This window comes from Homo sapiens, chromosome 15 (genome assembly GCF_000001405.40).
Source record: "Homo sapiens chromosome 15, GRCh38.p14 Primary Assembly".
NCBI lineage: Eukaryota > Metazoa > Chordata > Mammalia > Primates > Hominidae > Homo > Homo sapiens.
Window position 1 is genome coordinate 26,002,288 of NC_000015.10, and position 15,209 is coordinate 26,017,496.

At 41.5% G+C, this 15,209-nt stretch overlaps 1 long non-coding RNA gene and 1 other non-coding gene across 2 annotated transcripts in view; one reads left to right on the forward strand and one right to left on the reverse strand.

Moving 5' to 3' along the window:
- The window catches only part of LINC02346 (long intergenic non-protein coding RNA 2346), a 150,761-nt gene that overhangs the window by 99,928 nt on the left and 35,624 nt on the right, over nucleotides 1-15,209 (forward strand). The window contains exon 2 of the long non-coding RNA NR_040082.1: nucleotides 13,047-13,734. This is a non-coding gene — a long non-coding RNA (long intergenic non-protein coding RNA 2346). The remainder of the gene's footprint in view (nucleotides 1-13,046; nucleotides 13,735-15,209) is intronic.
- LOC124900363 (small nucleolar RNA SNORA48) lies at nucleotides 6,653-6,787 on the reverse strand. Its single transcript, XR_007064813.1, has one exon. It is a non-coding gene; the product is annotated as a small nucleolar RNA SNORA48 (small nucleolar RNA).

The following is a 15,209-nucleotide window of genomic DNA, read 5'->3' on the forward strand; positions in this document are numbered from 1 at the left end:
CCTCCCCGTCACGGCCGTGAAGCAAGTGTAGATGGCCGAGCCATCTTACGCTGAATGGACATTGGCTGTTCTTACTCTGACCTGTAGTGCAAGTCTGTAAAAATGTCCTTGCAAACTGAGACTGTGCAAAATGATCCTAATAATCAAAAGCATTGCTCCGGGACCTTTAACAAAATTTGTGAAAACATTTAAAAGTTCTCTTATTGTGGGTTATAAATGCATAGGGAAATTAAAAACTAGTAAAACTCCTACTTATATAGCATATCGTGATTTGAAACATTAGAAACTTTGAGAATTAAAGTGTTTTACTTGATTGTAAAAAAAAAAAAAAGAAAAGAAAACACCTTTCTAAGAAGAGTTTGAGCAGTGTGTGCCTTCTTAGCGCATCCCTTACAGTAGGGAGTGTGCATCTTTTCTAACCCTTGGCGACGTGTCATACTCCTTTCTGTGGGATCATCTCCTGCATTCTATTCCTTTTGTTTTCAATAAGGCTTCCTATAATATGGAAAGTTTTTGCTGGAGTCACTTCTTCTGGGGTGTCTTCCTCCTCTTTGTCACAGCCACTTTCTTAATTCATGACAATAAATTCTCCTTCACTCAATTCCCTGGTTGCATAACAGCAGTGTCAACGTTCCCAAGGTCAGCTATTTCTTTTGTAACTCCGCTTTCAACTCAGATCTCACTTCCACCAGGATCACTTTTTATTGATCTTTGCACTTTCATCTTTTCTGGCCAATCCCTCTTTTGATTACCCATTGTTGTCTTCACTGGAAGGTCTTGGCAACCTTGTTGAAAATCACTTGGCCCAAAACGTGAGGGTTTATTCCAGGACTCCCATTTCCACCACCTTGGTATATATGTTTAACCTATGGCAGAATCATCTTCCTGAGTCTTGGCACGTGGAGTCATTAAGAGCATGGGCTTTGGCCCCCTGCTTCTAACACCGTGTGATCTGTGCCATGTCAGTGTGTCTCTCTGAGCAATAGTTTCCTAATTTAGAAGCAACTCCCTAGAGGACGTTTTTGAAAATGAGAAAATCTGTGAAAAGCATTTCGTACTGTGCCTAGAAACACAGCAAATGCCACCGGGCACGGTGGCTCACGCCAGTAATCCCAGCCCTTTGGGAAGCCAAGGCAGGCAAATCACCTGAGGTCGGGAGTTTGAGACCAGCCTGATCAACATGGAGAAACCCCGTCTCTACTAAAAAAATAAAAAATTAGCTGGGCGTGGTGGCACGTGCCTGTAATCCCAGCTGCTTGGGAGGCTGAGGCAGGATAATTGCTTGAACCCTGGAGGTGGAGGGTGTGGTGAGCCGAGACTGTGCCACTGCACTCCAGCCTGGGCAACAAGAGCGAGCAAAACTCTGTCAAAAGAAAAAAAAAGAGAGAAAGAAAGATGAAAGAAAGAAAGAAGAAAGAAAGAAAGAAAGAAAGAAAGAAAGAAAGAAAGAAAGAAAGAAAGAAAGAAAAAGACCATAGTAAATGCTCAATAAATCAGACTTCTTATTACTGAATCATTGATAACATAGGGCTACAGTTGGCCATTGTCAACAACTTTTCTTCCCCCTGCCTTTGAACACACCACTCAAGTTGCAGATGACAACTTTCATATCCTTTACTCCCTAAAACACATGGTGCAATATTCATTTTGGCTGTTTCATCAGAATGAGATATGTAAATTGTGATGACCCAAAGTGTGACTTATCCCAAAGTGAACCTCCCAAGAAAGACCTAGACAGGCTCTAACCCCAGGATAAGCAAGCTGGTAGTACCTGTCTCCTATTCCCCGTCGCGGAGGGATAGTGGCTCAGAAGCGTGACACTGTCATTATGTTCTCTGGCATACAGACAGTTTTCCCTAGCTTTGAGGATGCCTGCTGACTTGCGGATTCTTGATGTCACCCCAGGTCGTGTCTGTTGTGATGGTGAACCTGGCAGTGATTGCCTAGAAGGGGGCGCTTGCCACCTGGCAGGAAACTACTATATGCTTAACCAAGCCAGCTCCATAACCCTCTGTCAAAACACGTAATTGTCAGGTCACTTCACGGACCAGGAAAATGATAGAATTGCCTAACAACACACAATTTTTACAAACTTTTTTTTTTAACCTCACTTTACAAACGAGTTCTCAGGAGTTCCTTCAGAGGTTAATTTAGAAGAGATTTGCAACTTTATGGTAGGGTTGAAGTTCCCCGTGCAGGGCAGTTTTGCCTTTGTACCAATCTACCATTATATAATCATAGGTGAAGTTTTATTTTTAGCTACATTCTATTTAATTGGACATTACTCAATCTAGATGATCAGTAGGAAGTTGCTTCCTTGCTGTTTTCCATCAAAAGACTAAAAATTTAAAGCCAACATCCCTTGATTCATTTTATTCCTTCCCATTTGGTTTAATCAGGAGATATTTCTCACCCAGTTATTGAGAATTAAAGATCATATGGTATTTCTGGGCAAAACCTGGCTACTCTATAAAAAGTTTTTAATTGTCCTTAAATTGAAGATAAAATAGATTTTAAAAACAGTATTATCAAATCTATGTGGGGTACAAAAATTATACATAATAAAAATTTATGTTTGGGTGCAGTGGCTTGCATCTGTAATTCCAGCACTTTGGGAGGCTGAGATGGGACGATCACTTGAAGCCAGGAGTTTGAGACCAGCCTGAGAAAAATAGCAAGACCCCATCTCTAGAAAAATAAAACCAACTACCTGGACATGGTGGTGGATGCCTGTAGCCCCAGCCACTCAGGAGGCTGAGGTGGGAGGATCACTCGAGCCCAGGAGTTTGAGGCTGCAGCGAGCCATGGATGGAACCACTGCACTCAAGCTTGAGTGACAGAGTGAGACCCTGTCTCTAAGAAATAAATAATACCACCAACAAAAAAATATGTACAGACAACTTGGTTTAAGAAAGAAGAATGTGAGGCCGGCGCGGTAGCTCACGCCTCTAATCCCAGCACTTTGGGAGGCTGCGGCGGGCTGATCACCTGAGGTCAGGAGTTTGAGACCAGCCTGGCCAACATGGTGAAACTCTGTCTCTACTAAAAATACAAAAAATTGGCTGGGCCTGGTGGCACCTGCCTGTAATCCCAGCTACTTTGGAGGCTGAGGGCAGGAGAATTGCTTGAACCCAGGAGGTGGAGGTTGCTGTGAGCTGAGATCACGCCATTGCACTCCAGCCTGGGCAACAAGAGCAAAACTCAGTCTTCAAAAACAAACAAACAAAAACCAACAACAAAACAAACCAACAAACAAAAAAATCAAAGAAAGAAGAAGGTGAACCATACCTGAAAAGTCTTCTAAGAGGCTCTTCCTGCTCTCACCTCATTCCCCTTCCCAGCCCCCAGAGTCAGAGGAAATTCCTGTGCAGAATTGTGTGATTATCATGCTCTTAATTTTATTTGTATCCACAAATAGTGCATTGCTTAGCTTTGCATGTTTTTAACCAATATAAATTCAAGCACACTACTTATATTGTTTGTAATTTCATTTCTTTCCTCAGCTAATTCCTGAGATTCACTGAGGTGTTGTGGGTTGGAGTAATTAACTCATTTTTTTTTCTTAAATAGTAGTCCTTAAATTAATACATTGTAATACACCCACTCATTCAACTTTTGATGGCTATTTGGACTGTCTTCAGTGTTTTTTGCCTTCACATAAAGTGGGGCTATGAACACTCTTATATGTGACTCCTGACATATAAATTGCAAAATGTTTCTAGTTCATACATCTAGCTATGGATTCGCTTGCCCATAGGTTATGCACATTACCAAATTGCTGACCGTTATAACAATTACACTTGCGCAAGCTGTACCCAGGGCACTGGCTGCTCGTGTTCTTGTTCATGCTTGACATTGTCATAGCTAGTCTGGGACGTGTGAAGCGATAGCACCCGTGGTTTCAGCTTGTGTTTCCCCAGGTACCTGTGAGGCTGAACATCTTTTCATGTGTTTATTTGTTTATTGACCTCGTGTGCTTTCTTTCTTCCTTTTTTTTTTTTTTTTTTTTTGAGACAGAGTCTCACTCTGTCACCCTGGCTGGAGTGCAGTGGCACAATCTCCACTCATTGCAACCTCCACCTCCCAGGTTCAAGCAGTTCCCCTGCCTCCGCCTCCCAAGTAGCTGGGATTACAGGCACCCACCACCATACCCGGCTAATTTTTGTATTTTTAGTAGAGACGGGGTTTCACCGTGTTGGCCAGGCTAGTCTCAAACTCCTGACCTCTGGTGATCCGGCCACCTTGGCTTCCCAAAGTGCTGGGATTACAGATGTGAGCCACTGCGCCTGGCCCTCATGTGCTTTGTTTTCCAGGAAATGCCTGACTTGTAAGGAGTTCTTTTGTATTCCGGGTGCTATATCCAGAATATATAAGATGGTGAGATATATCGGCCCCATTTTGTGGTATGTGTATGTCTTCATGCCCCTTTGTAGATACATAACCTGTCATGTGATGTATACATTCATTCTCTGTTTGATGTCTTTTAACAATCAGAAGTTCTCAATTGCAATGTATGTGTCTCTTCAGGTAGAGTCTGTAGCGTGTGTGTGTGTGTGTGTGTGTGTCGTGTGTGTGTGTGCATGTTTTGTCAACTTGTCTTCTGTCATAAATTTGTTCTCATACATGGTCTTTTAAAAGACTTACATTTTGCTCTTCACATTTAATTACCTTTAATGTACCTACCCCTCACTTTTAATGTGTGTGTGTGTGGTGAGAAGTAGAGATTCAGTTAATTTTTTTTATCAAATGCAGCATTTATTTCCCAGTGGTCTGCAGCAATGACTGTGGTAAGTCGGGGTTCTGGGTATGGATGAGTCTGATTCTAGGCTGTGCACTCTATTCCACTTGTCAAGTTGTAAGTCCCTCATCAGTCTCCCTGCCTGGCTCTCCTACTTTGGGAATGTCAAAGACATCCTTGGCCGTTGCTGTTTTCTGTAATTTTAGAATCAGCTTGTCAAGATCAGGCATGTGGCTCATATCTGTAATCCCAGTGCTTTGGGAGACCGAAGTGGGAAGATTGCTTGAGGCTAGGAGTTCAAGACAAGCCTGGTAGCATAGCAAGATCTTGTCTCTACCAAAATTAAAAAATGTAGCCAGGCATGATGGCCGACGCTCGTGTTCCCAGTTACTCCGGAGAGTGAGGAGGGAGGATCACTTGAGCCTAGGAGGTCTAGGCTGCAGTGAGCCATGGTCATGCCACTACACTCCAGCCTGAACTACAGAGCAAGACCCTGTTTCAAAACAACAACAACAAACCCAGCTTCTCAAAATCTCCATTAAAAAGAGAAAATTGCTGGAATTTTGATAGGCATTGCATTATATGTGTAGATCAATTTGGGAAAAATGGACATGTTTATGATATTGAGAACTCAAATTTACAAACATCTATTTATTGGGGTTTTAAAAAACATCTTTCAAAAAAGTGTTCTAACATTTTTCATAAAGATCTCAGACATCCTTTGTTAAAATTATTCCCGAGTATTTCTTATTTTTGAGTCTATTATATCTTCATAAAAAGCATGTTCTCTTTGTCACTGGTGTATAGAAACCGAATCAATTTTTGTATCTTGCTTTTCATTCCAGGAGCCTTGCTAAATGCTCTTGAATAATGTCAGTTTTGCTTGTTCCTTTTCATTCCTCAAATATTTTCTCCCTCTTTTGTTGCCTGAGTCCTCCAGCACAATTTTAAATAGTAATAGTAGTAATGGGTATTCTGCTCTTGTTATTCACCTTTAAAAAAAAGTGTTCAGCATTTTATATTATGTAAAATATTCTCTGTGGGGTTTTGATAAATTCACTTTTTCTAAACATTATAGAAGTTTATTTTTCTGGTTTGTTGTTTTAATACATTAATTGATTTTATGATTTTATTCAATCTTGCCTTCCTAGAATGAACTCAAATTGATCAGGATGCATTATCTTTTATTGATGCCTGGGATTTGACTCTAATTTCCCTTTCTTATGCTGTTTCTGTCTGATTTTGGCTTCTTAAGGTTATGGTAACATTATAAAACAAATTGGAAGCCCTCTCTTTCTCTAGAATTTGGAAATCCCAGAGTCTGAGTTTGGTAAATATTCAGAAGAGCTCAAATCGTGTTTTCTCTTTGATGCAACACTTTTTTTTTTTTTTTTTTTTTTTGAGACAGAGTCTTACTCTGTCACCCAGACTGGAGTGTAATGGCACGATCTTGGCTCACTGCAACCTCTGCCTCCCAGGTTCAAGTAATTCTCCTGCCTCAGCCTCCCAAGTAGCTGGGATTACAGGTGCCTGCCACCACACCTGTATTTTTAGTAGAGATGGGGTTTCGCCGTGTTGGCCAGGCTGGTCTCGAACTCCTGACCTCAGGTGATCCACCCACCGAGGCCTCCCAAAGTGCTGGGATTACAGACATGAGCCACCGTGCTCCACTGGTCTTTGATGGAAAACTTTTAACTACTGATCCAGTTACTTGAGAAATCATATAACTATTCATACTTTCTATGTCCTTTTTATTAACTGGCAACCTCTATTTTTCTATAAATGTGTATTTCCTTTTACTTTTCAAGTTTATTTATCTAAAGCTGTTGCCAATATCTTTTAACTTTTTAAATCCCTGTAGGACAAGAGTTATATCATCTTTTCTATTTTTAAAAAAAAATTTATTCCAGCAATTGATATGTCCAAGGCACGAACCAGGCATGGGCATAGACCAGGAGCCAGGCTGGGATGAGCAAGCGGTTTCTTCATCCCTAGCTGGTATGAGATGGATACCACCAGCCAGGCCCCTCTCTTCCCAGGTCAGGGGCACCTTTTCCATTTCTCATGTTTCTCTGTGTCTTCTTTCATTTTTCCTTATTCAATATAGACAGATTTTCTTTTTCATTAGTCTTTCAAAAGAACTAACTTTTGCCTTTTGTTTTGCTTTGTTTTTTGAGATAGAATTTTGCCCTGTTGCCTGGCTGGAGTGCAATGGCGCCATCACAGCTCACTGCAACCTTGACCTTTCAGGCTCTAGTGACCCTCCCACCTCAGCCACCTCCCACCGAGAAGCTGGAAATACAAGTGCACCATTATGCCTGGCTAATTTTGTGTGTGTGTGGGTGGGTGGGTATAGATGGGCTTTTGCTATGTTGCCCGGGCTGGTCTTGGAACTCCTGGACTCAAGCAAGCCTCCTGCTTTGGCCTCTCTCAGTACTGGGATTACTGGCAAGAGCCACTGCATCGAGTCTTGCCTTACGATGTTGTTTATTGTGTGATTATATTGTGTGATTATATTTTTTTTATATTCTTCTTTTTTTTTTTTTTTTTTGTTGTTGTTGTTTTCATAGAATCTGGCTCTGGTGTCCAGACTGGAATGCAGTGGCATGATCTTGGCTCACTGCAAGCTCCACCTACTGGGCTCAAGTGATTCTTGTGCCTCAGCCTCCCAAGTATCCATAATTACTGGCACACACCACCACACCCAGCTAATTTTTGTATTTTTAGTAGAGATGGGGTTTTGCTATGTTAGTCAGGCTGGTCTCAAACTCCTGGCCTCAAGTGATCCACTTGCTTCAGCCTCCCAAAGTGCTGGGATTACAGGTGTGAGCCACTGTGCCTGGCCTATTGTGTTATTATATTCTATTTCATGGATTTCCACTCTTTTCTACTTCATTTTTTTCTATTTTTGTCAGTTTGATTCTGCTGTTAGTTTTCTGCTTTCTTGATTTAATTCTGCAGCTCATTAATATTTAATCTTCTTTTCTAATATAACCATGTAACACTGTAAATGTTACTCTAAGAATTGATTTAGCTACATCTGACAAGTTTGATATGTGATTTTTATTATAATTTAGTTCTAAATATTTTCTAATTTTCATTGATTTATTATTTTATGTTATTTAGAAGAGTATTTTATACTTTCCAAATATATGTGGTTTGTCTATCTATCTTTTTGTAACAATGGCATTTTGTGGTGGCCAATGTGATTTGTATGATACCAACCTTTTGAAATTTGTTGAGACTAGCTTATTGCCCACTATTTGGTCAATAAATGTATTTTTGTGCTTGAAAAGAATAAGTACTTTATAGTAGTTAGGTATTTTATACATGTCCTTCAAGTCAAGCTTTTACATATTTTTATTCAAATGCTCTATTGCCTGGTTATTTGTTTTTATCTCTTTGATCTATCATCACTGAAAAAGGTATGTTAACACCTATTACTACGGTCGATTTATCCATTTCTCCCTGTAATGAGGCTAACTTGGCTTAATATATTTTGAGGCTATGTTATTAATTACATATAAGTTTACAGTTATTATACCTTTTTGGTTTATTTGGATATCTTTGCATTATTTAATGATCCTCTTTCTCTTTTGTGATGCTTTTTGTTTTCAAAATATATTTGTTCTGATTTTTTGTTCGTTTGTTTTATTGAGATGGAGTCTCACTCTGTTGCCCAGGCTGGAGTGCAATTCACTGCAACCTCTGCCTTCCAGGTTCAAGCGACTGTCGTGCCTCAGCCTCCCAAGTAGCTGGGACTACAGGCATGCACCACCATGCCTGGCTAATTTTTGTATTTTTAGCAGAGGTGGCGTTTCACCATGTTGGCCAGGCTGGTCTCGAACTCCTGACCTCAAGTTATCCAACCGCTTCAGCCTCCCAAAGTGCTGGGATTACAGGCATAAGCCACCATGGTTCTGATATTAATACAGCTATTTCAGCTAATATAGATGGCCCTGTCACTTTGTGCTCCAATTTCCCTATCTATCTCCAAAATGGGTAGAATAATAAGACTGACCTCACAAGGTTGTTCATTCATTCATTTCTTCATCAACTTAATGCATATTTATTAAGCACCCACTATATGTCAGGAATTGTTTCATGCTTGAGAGAAACAGTTGCAAACAAAAATCTCTGTCTTCGTGGAACTTAGGTTTCAGTATGGATTATTGTTAGAATTAATTGAGTTAATATTAATACATAAAGTGTTTAGAATAATACCTGGCCCATAGTGAGTATCTATTATAATTATTATTACTTTTCCCCATGTTTATTCCTAATATGTATATGTCAGTATATGTTGTTGTATTTTGGATATATTCCTTAAATTGCATATAGCTGGATTTTGTTATTTAACCAGTCAGATATTCTTTAGCATTTAATTTATCATTAGTTTGGCACATTTATTCCATTTCCATTTATCTTCTTTTGTTGCTGTTGTTGGGAGAGTCTCGCTCTGTCACCCAGGCTGTAGTGCAATGGCAAGATCTCAGCTCACCGCAACCTTCACCTCCCAGGTTCAAGTGATTCTTCCACCTCAGTAGCTGAGGATTCTTCCACCGAGTAGCTGAGATTACAGTCATGTGCCACCATGCCTGGCTAATTTTTTGCATTTTTAGTAGAGACGGGGTTTTGCTATGTTGGTCAGGCTAATCTCAAACCCCTGGCCTCAAGTGATTTTCCTGCCATAGCCTCTCAAAGTGCTGGGATTATAGGCATGAGCCACCATGCCCAGTCCCATTTATCATTATTATTAATAAATTTGGATTGATTTTTACTATTTTCCTTAAGCTTTCTTGGTTTCTTCTCTTTCTTTTGGACTATTTGTTTGTTATTCTGTATATATTTCCCCTATAACAATTAGGAAGTTAGACATCTTTATTTTTTCCTTGAGTGACTACTACTCCAGTTACTGCTGTTTCATAACAAACATCCCCTAGTCAGTGGCATAAAATAATAAGAATTAGTGGCTCGCTGATGGTGCAGGTCAGGAATTTGGACAGGCAGGGCCCAGTGGGGATGACTGGTCTTTCTTCTCTGTTGTCTGGAGCCATAGCTGGGAATACCTGAAAGGCTGGGGCCAGAATCATCAAGAGGCATCTTCACTCACACCTGCCCTGCAGGCGGGACTGACTGACAGGCTCGGCTCAGCTGGGGCTGGCCACCAGAGCTCCTACATGGACCTTCCTATAGGGCTTGGCTTTTCACAGCACAGCAGCTGGGTTCCAGGAGACAGTGACCCTAGAAGAAGAGGGCAGTGCATTGCTTTCTCAACCCAGAAGTCTTCACAACATCATTCCACCACATCCTTTGACGACAAGAAAATCAGAGTCTAGCCCAGGTTCAAGGCAAAGGGAATTAGACTCCACTTTTGGAAGGACACGTCAGATGAGAAATATTGTTGCAGCTACCTTTGGAAAACAAAGCCTAGCACAATTACCTTAGAAATTCTAGCCTAACTTATTAAAACCTAAAGTTCACATCTTTATTTTCATCCTAAACACAACTCAGTTTTTCTGACTTTTGTGCTGTGATTAATTTGCCACCTATTTTGATTTTACCTTTGATCTTGTAGTTTTAAAATCTCACAGTGTTGTTGTTTTACAAATGAATATTTATATTTTATGATATTTAATATTTCTTTTGTTCTTCAATTCATATATCTCTGACCATGTATTAGAAATTCCTTTAGTTACGGTCTGTAGGTGAGAAAATTGCTCAGTGGTAGATTTGAAAATATCTTTATTTCTTCTTTGTTTTGAGAGATATTTGTTCCAGTGTATAAAATTCCCTCTGCACATAGATGATATTATGTTACTGTCTAGGAGTAGGCTCCTTTTAATTTATTCTGTGTGGGATTCATTGGTTTTCCTCATCCCGTGGATTGTGGTCTTTAATCAATTCTGGAAAATTCTCAGAATTATCTTTTAAAATATTGCCTTGATCTCATTTTCTCTCTCCTTTCCTTCCTGAACTCTGATATGTTAATACTTCTCCTGGTTTCCACCTATATCTTGACTCGTCTTTTACATGTCCTATTTCTTCATGTTTTTGTCATACATTCTGAATAATTTCTTCAGATCCAAGTCTCAGGTCACAAATTCTCTAGCCTAATGTTAAACTTTATTTTTAGTTTATATATTTTTTATTTCTACAAATTTGATTAGATTCTTTTTCAGACCTGATTGTTTAATAAAGTCTCTTGCTCCTTATTTGTATATTCAGTTCTTTTAGTTCTTTAAACATAATACGCTGGTCTTTTTTTAATTTTAAATTTTTGTGGGTACATAGTAGGTGTATGAGCTGGTCTATTTATTTATTTATTTTTTTATATGAAGTCTTGCTCTATTGCCCAAGCTGGAGTGCAATGGCGTAATCTCAGCTCACTGCAATCTCTGCTTCCCGGGTTCAAGCGATTCTCCTGCCTCAGCCTCCAAGTAGCTGGGACTACAGGCACCCGCCACCACACCCGGCTAATTTTTGCATTTTTAGTAGAGAGAGGGTTTCACTACATTGGCCAGGCTGGTCTTGAACTCCTAACCTCGTGATCCACCCGCCTTGTCCTCCCAAAGTTCTGGGATTACAGGCGTGAGCCACTGTGCCTGGCCGAGCCGGTCTATTTTTAATTCCAGGTCTGATTTGCCCAATGTATGAATTTTTGCATGTCCAACTTTTCTGTTATCCACAGGAATGATTTGATGCCTGCCTCTGTGGGTCCTTCTGCTGCCGAGCACCAGGGCACTGTCATCAGCCAGAGATGAAATTAAGCTGAATCCTCAACTTGAGGTTTTTCTGACCACCTGGGTAATTCAAATTCGAGCTGAAAACTCTCCTGAGGGCTGGCTGGTGATCATGAATTATCAGCAGGAATGTTTTTCCGTTCTATTCAGTGCTCAGGATTGATGCGGCTAGTCCTACGGACAGTGGGTACATTTCCAGTCCACCGGGACACCCCAGGAAAAGCTCCTCCCTGTCCCGCAGCGTTGGAGAGGCTGTGTCCCAGGTCCCAGTGTGGGCTGGCTCTGCACTTTTCCCTGCACCATTGGCCCTGGAATTCCAAGGCTGGAGATCCCTGGGTTTGCCAGATGCCCTCAAGGCAAAACCAGCTCATCTCCTAGGTTCCAATTTTCACTGGAGTTTTGGTCGCTGAATCTTCTGCTTCACTTGCCAAATTATTGCTGCCTGTAAAAATATCTCTCCCACATTTTTTTTCGGCAGTTTTACTTGTTTTCAGCTGGGCGATCTGCCATGGTATCTAGATTGCCTTATTGTACCAATGTAAATTTTGGAAGACTGCTGGGAAAACAGTCAGCAAGCCTTAGTTTCTTATGAGAATGAAATTTCAAAGTACAATTGGATCTCCATATCTGTGGGTTCTGCATCCACCGATTCAATTGCAGGCTGAAAATAGTCATAAATAAAAATAAAAAATAATAGGACAATAAAACATAATAAAAGTAAAAATATAGTATAACAAATATTTGCATAGCATTTATATTGTATTAGGTATTGTAAGTTATCCACAGATGACATAAAGTATATGAGAGCATGTGTGTAGTTTATGCACAAATGCTACATCATTTTACATAAAGAGCTTGGGCATCTGCAGATTTCGGTATGCGCTAGGGTCCTGGAACCAATCCTCCCTCGGTACTGAGGGATGACGTTCTACATTAAATTTTAATAGGTAATGCAGCATTTCCTACTGTCTGTCTTCCCATTCATAATGGTCCATGACAGTAATAACCATCGTTTGCAAATAAGAAAGACAACGCTGGGTATTAATCATTTTTAAAATAACCTCTTATGCGGCCTGCTCTATGTTTGGCTACATGGAGAGGGATATCATTGGCTGGAAGTGTTTGACAGGTAGATGATTCTTAGGAACTCTGAGTTTGTAGGTTTGTCCTGTTAAATGCTCTTAGTCGGTCACATTTGTAATTAGCTGGAACTTTCTGTTTTATGTCTAAAAAGTCCTTCGATAATTACACTTGGAATAAAGGTTTGCATTTTTTAAAAATTGAGATCATGGAAAGACATATCAATTGCAAGAGTTGTATAAAGTCGAATTGACTGAAATTTACCTCACAACTAAAAATAACTAATTTCTTTACCAAAAGAAGCCCACCTATTTGTATTTTATTTCCTGTTTCTGTATAACTACATACAAACATAATAAACATACTAAATATAATAAATTAGTAAACACATAAACATAGTAAAATTAATGCCAGTTTACTGCCATATGCTGCGTAGGAGTAACAGATGCATCTGCCCAACCTTTTTTTTTTTTTTTCCTTTTCAGCCCAAAAACTACTTAAAAATTAATCATATCAAAACAAGAGCATCCATGAACCAACTTCTGAGAATTGCTGTTGCTGAGAAAGGCCTAGTGAGCCCCTGTTTCCTCAGGCCACCTTCCTCTTCCTCCCATTGCCAAGGGCTCCTGTCGCCCCCGTCTGCGTTCTCCTGCCTGGCGCTCTGTCACCTCCTGTGGAGGCCCCACGTGTTCATCTGAGGGCTGCTGCTGCCCTTCCAGTATTATCCACACCTGCCATTATTACTGGGTCTTGCTCTCTGACAAAGGGGCTACAGCGCTCCTTCCTGGTACACATGCAGCCCTCCTGCCCTTGCTCAAGGACCGCACCTCAACAGGGCACCTGCTCTCATCTGGCCATCGCCTCGGCATAGGTAGCTCAAGATAGATGTTCAGCCCCAAGCCTCATGGCTGACTAACCCTGTGGAACTTAAAAGTTCAAAGACAGGGATGCCTGGATTCTGTCTCTGCCTCTGCACGTGTGTCTGTGCAGGCATCCGAGCTGACCGGCCAGCTTCCCGCTGGTGGAGGTGGGAGGCATAGGCTGCTTCTACACGCCCAAAGCCTACCCACTACAGAGTTACTTGCAGTCACACATGCTGACTAAGGGAGGAGAGCAACTCCAATCAAACGAAGCTAAGGAAGATAGCACACAAACTGGCAAGAAATTCCTGAGGTTTGCTACTTCCTATGATGGGGACAAATTCAAATGATACAGCTTTGAGAGAAAGGTGTTACATGGAACATAGGGTGCCTGCTGTGAGTTGCTTTTAGAGGTGAAAGGAGTAGATTCGCACAGACAGCTGCAGGAGGGACAGGCGGACTCCACCATCATTGGTGGAGGGGCCGGAGCCGAAGCAGCCCCCCAGGGAGTTGGTATTGCCTAGGGAAATGAACGTGGGAGAGAAAAATCCTGCCATTCAAAGGATGGTGATCCTTGTCTCCACACACCCTCACCTACCCCTGCCAAAGCAGCAGCTATTCGTTTGTTGTCACTGTTGCACTCTTCCAGTGACCTAAAGCAGCAACTTCTAAATGTGTAATGGAAAACAAGCAGTGCAGCTCAACAGCTTGTGGTTTCTGGGGTCTCTGCAATTGAACTAGGCTATCTGCTCTTTGAGCCTGGTTGCTAACCTGTGTGCTTCGTGCTCCACGTACTCCAAATGCAGGGAAGGGCAGGGTTACTCCACGCTCCTGGGACTGAACTAACGCATATCACGGAGAACAGAAGACTGGCTTCTTCGTGGTTGTTGGAGACAGAGTCTGGCTCTGTCACCCAGGCTGGAGCACAGTGGCACTATCTTGGCTCACTGCAACCTCCACCTCCCGGTTTCAAGCAATTTTCTTGCCTCAGCCCGAGTAGCTAGGATTACAGGCATCCGCCACCATGCCTGGCTAATTTTTTGTGTTTTAGTAGAGACAGGTTTTCACCATGTTGCCCACACTGGTCTCAAACTCCTGAGCTCAGGCCATCTGCCCTCCTCAGCCTCCCAAAGTGCTAGGATTACTGGTATGAGCCACCGTGCCCAGCCAGAACCCTGGCTTCTCATCATCAGGAAAGAACTGATCAGACAGAACCAATCCAAAGATTCAGTGAGTTGCCCAGGTGGTTTACAAGGACATGCAATGTTTGGGAATACGTGGCGTGAAATGCAGATTTGCCAGAGCCCAGAGAGCCGCAACCAGTACAGTTGCAGATAAAAGATTTTCAGAGGCCAGATTTTCAGCGCTCTGCAGTTTTAAAAACCAAATGCACATCTTTCTTTAGATTTGAATAAATACACATTTTGGAAAACACAAGCAACACGGCTGGGATGCATCTTAAAACAACATGACGTGAACTCCACGAATCTGAACAGAATTAAAACCTTTGCCCTTTCTGGTTTGAAAGCCTTGCGCTCATGCTAAAAGTGCAGTGGAGTGTGCGCACTCACACCCAAACTCTCCCCCACACGTACACTAATACACACTCAGGCCCACTCACCGGAACACATTCAGGCTCACAGTCACATACTGTGTCCAGCATTGAAATCCCAGTGGGTTTTTGGTCTTGCTGACTTCAAGAATAAAGTCGTGGACCCTCGAAGTCAGTATTACAGCTCTTAGAGATGGCCTGTCTGGAGTTCTTTCCTCCAGATGTTCAGATGTGAC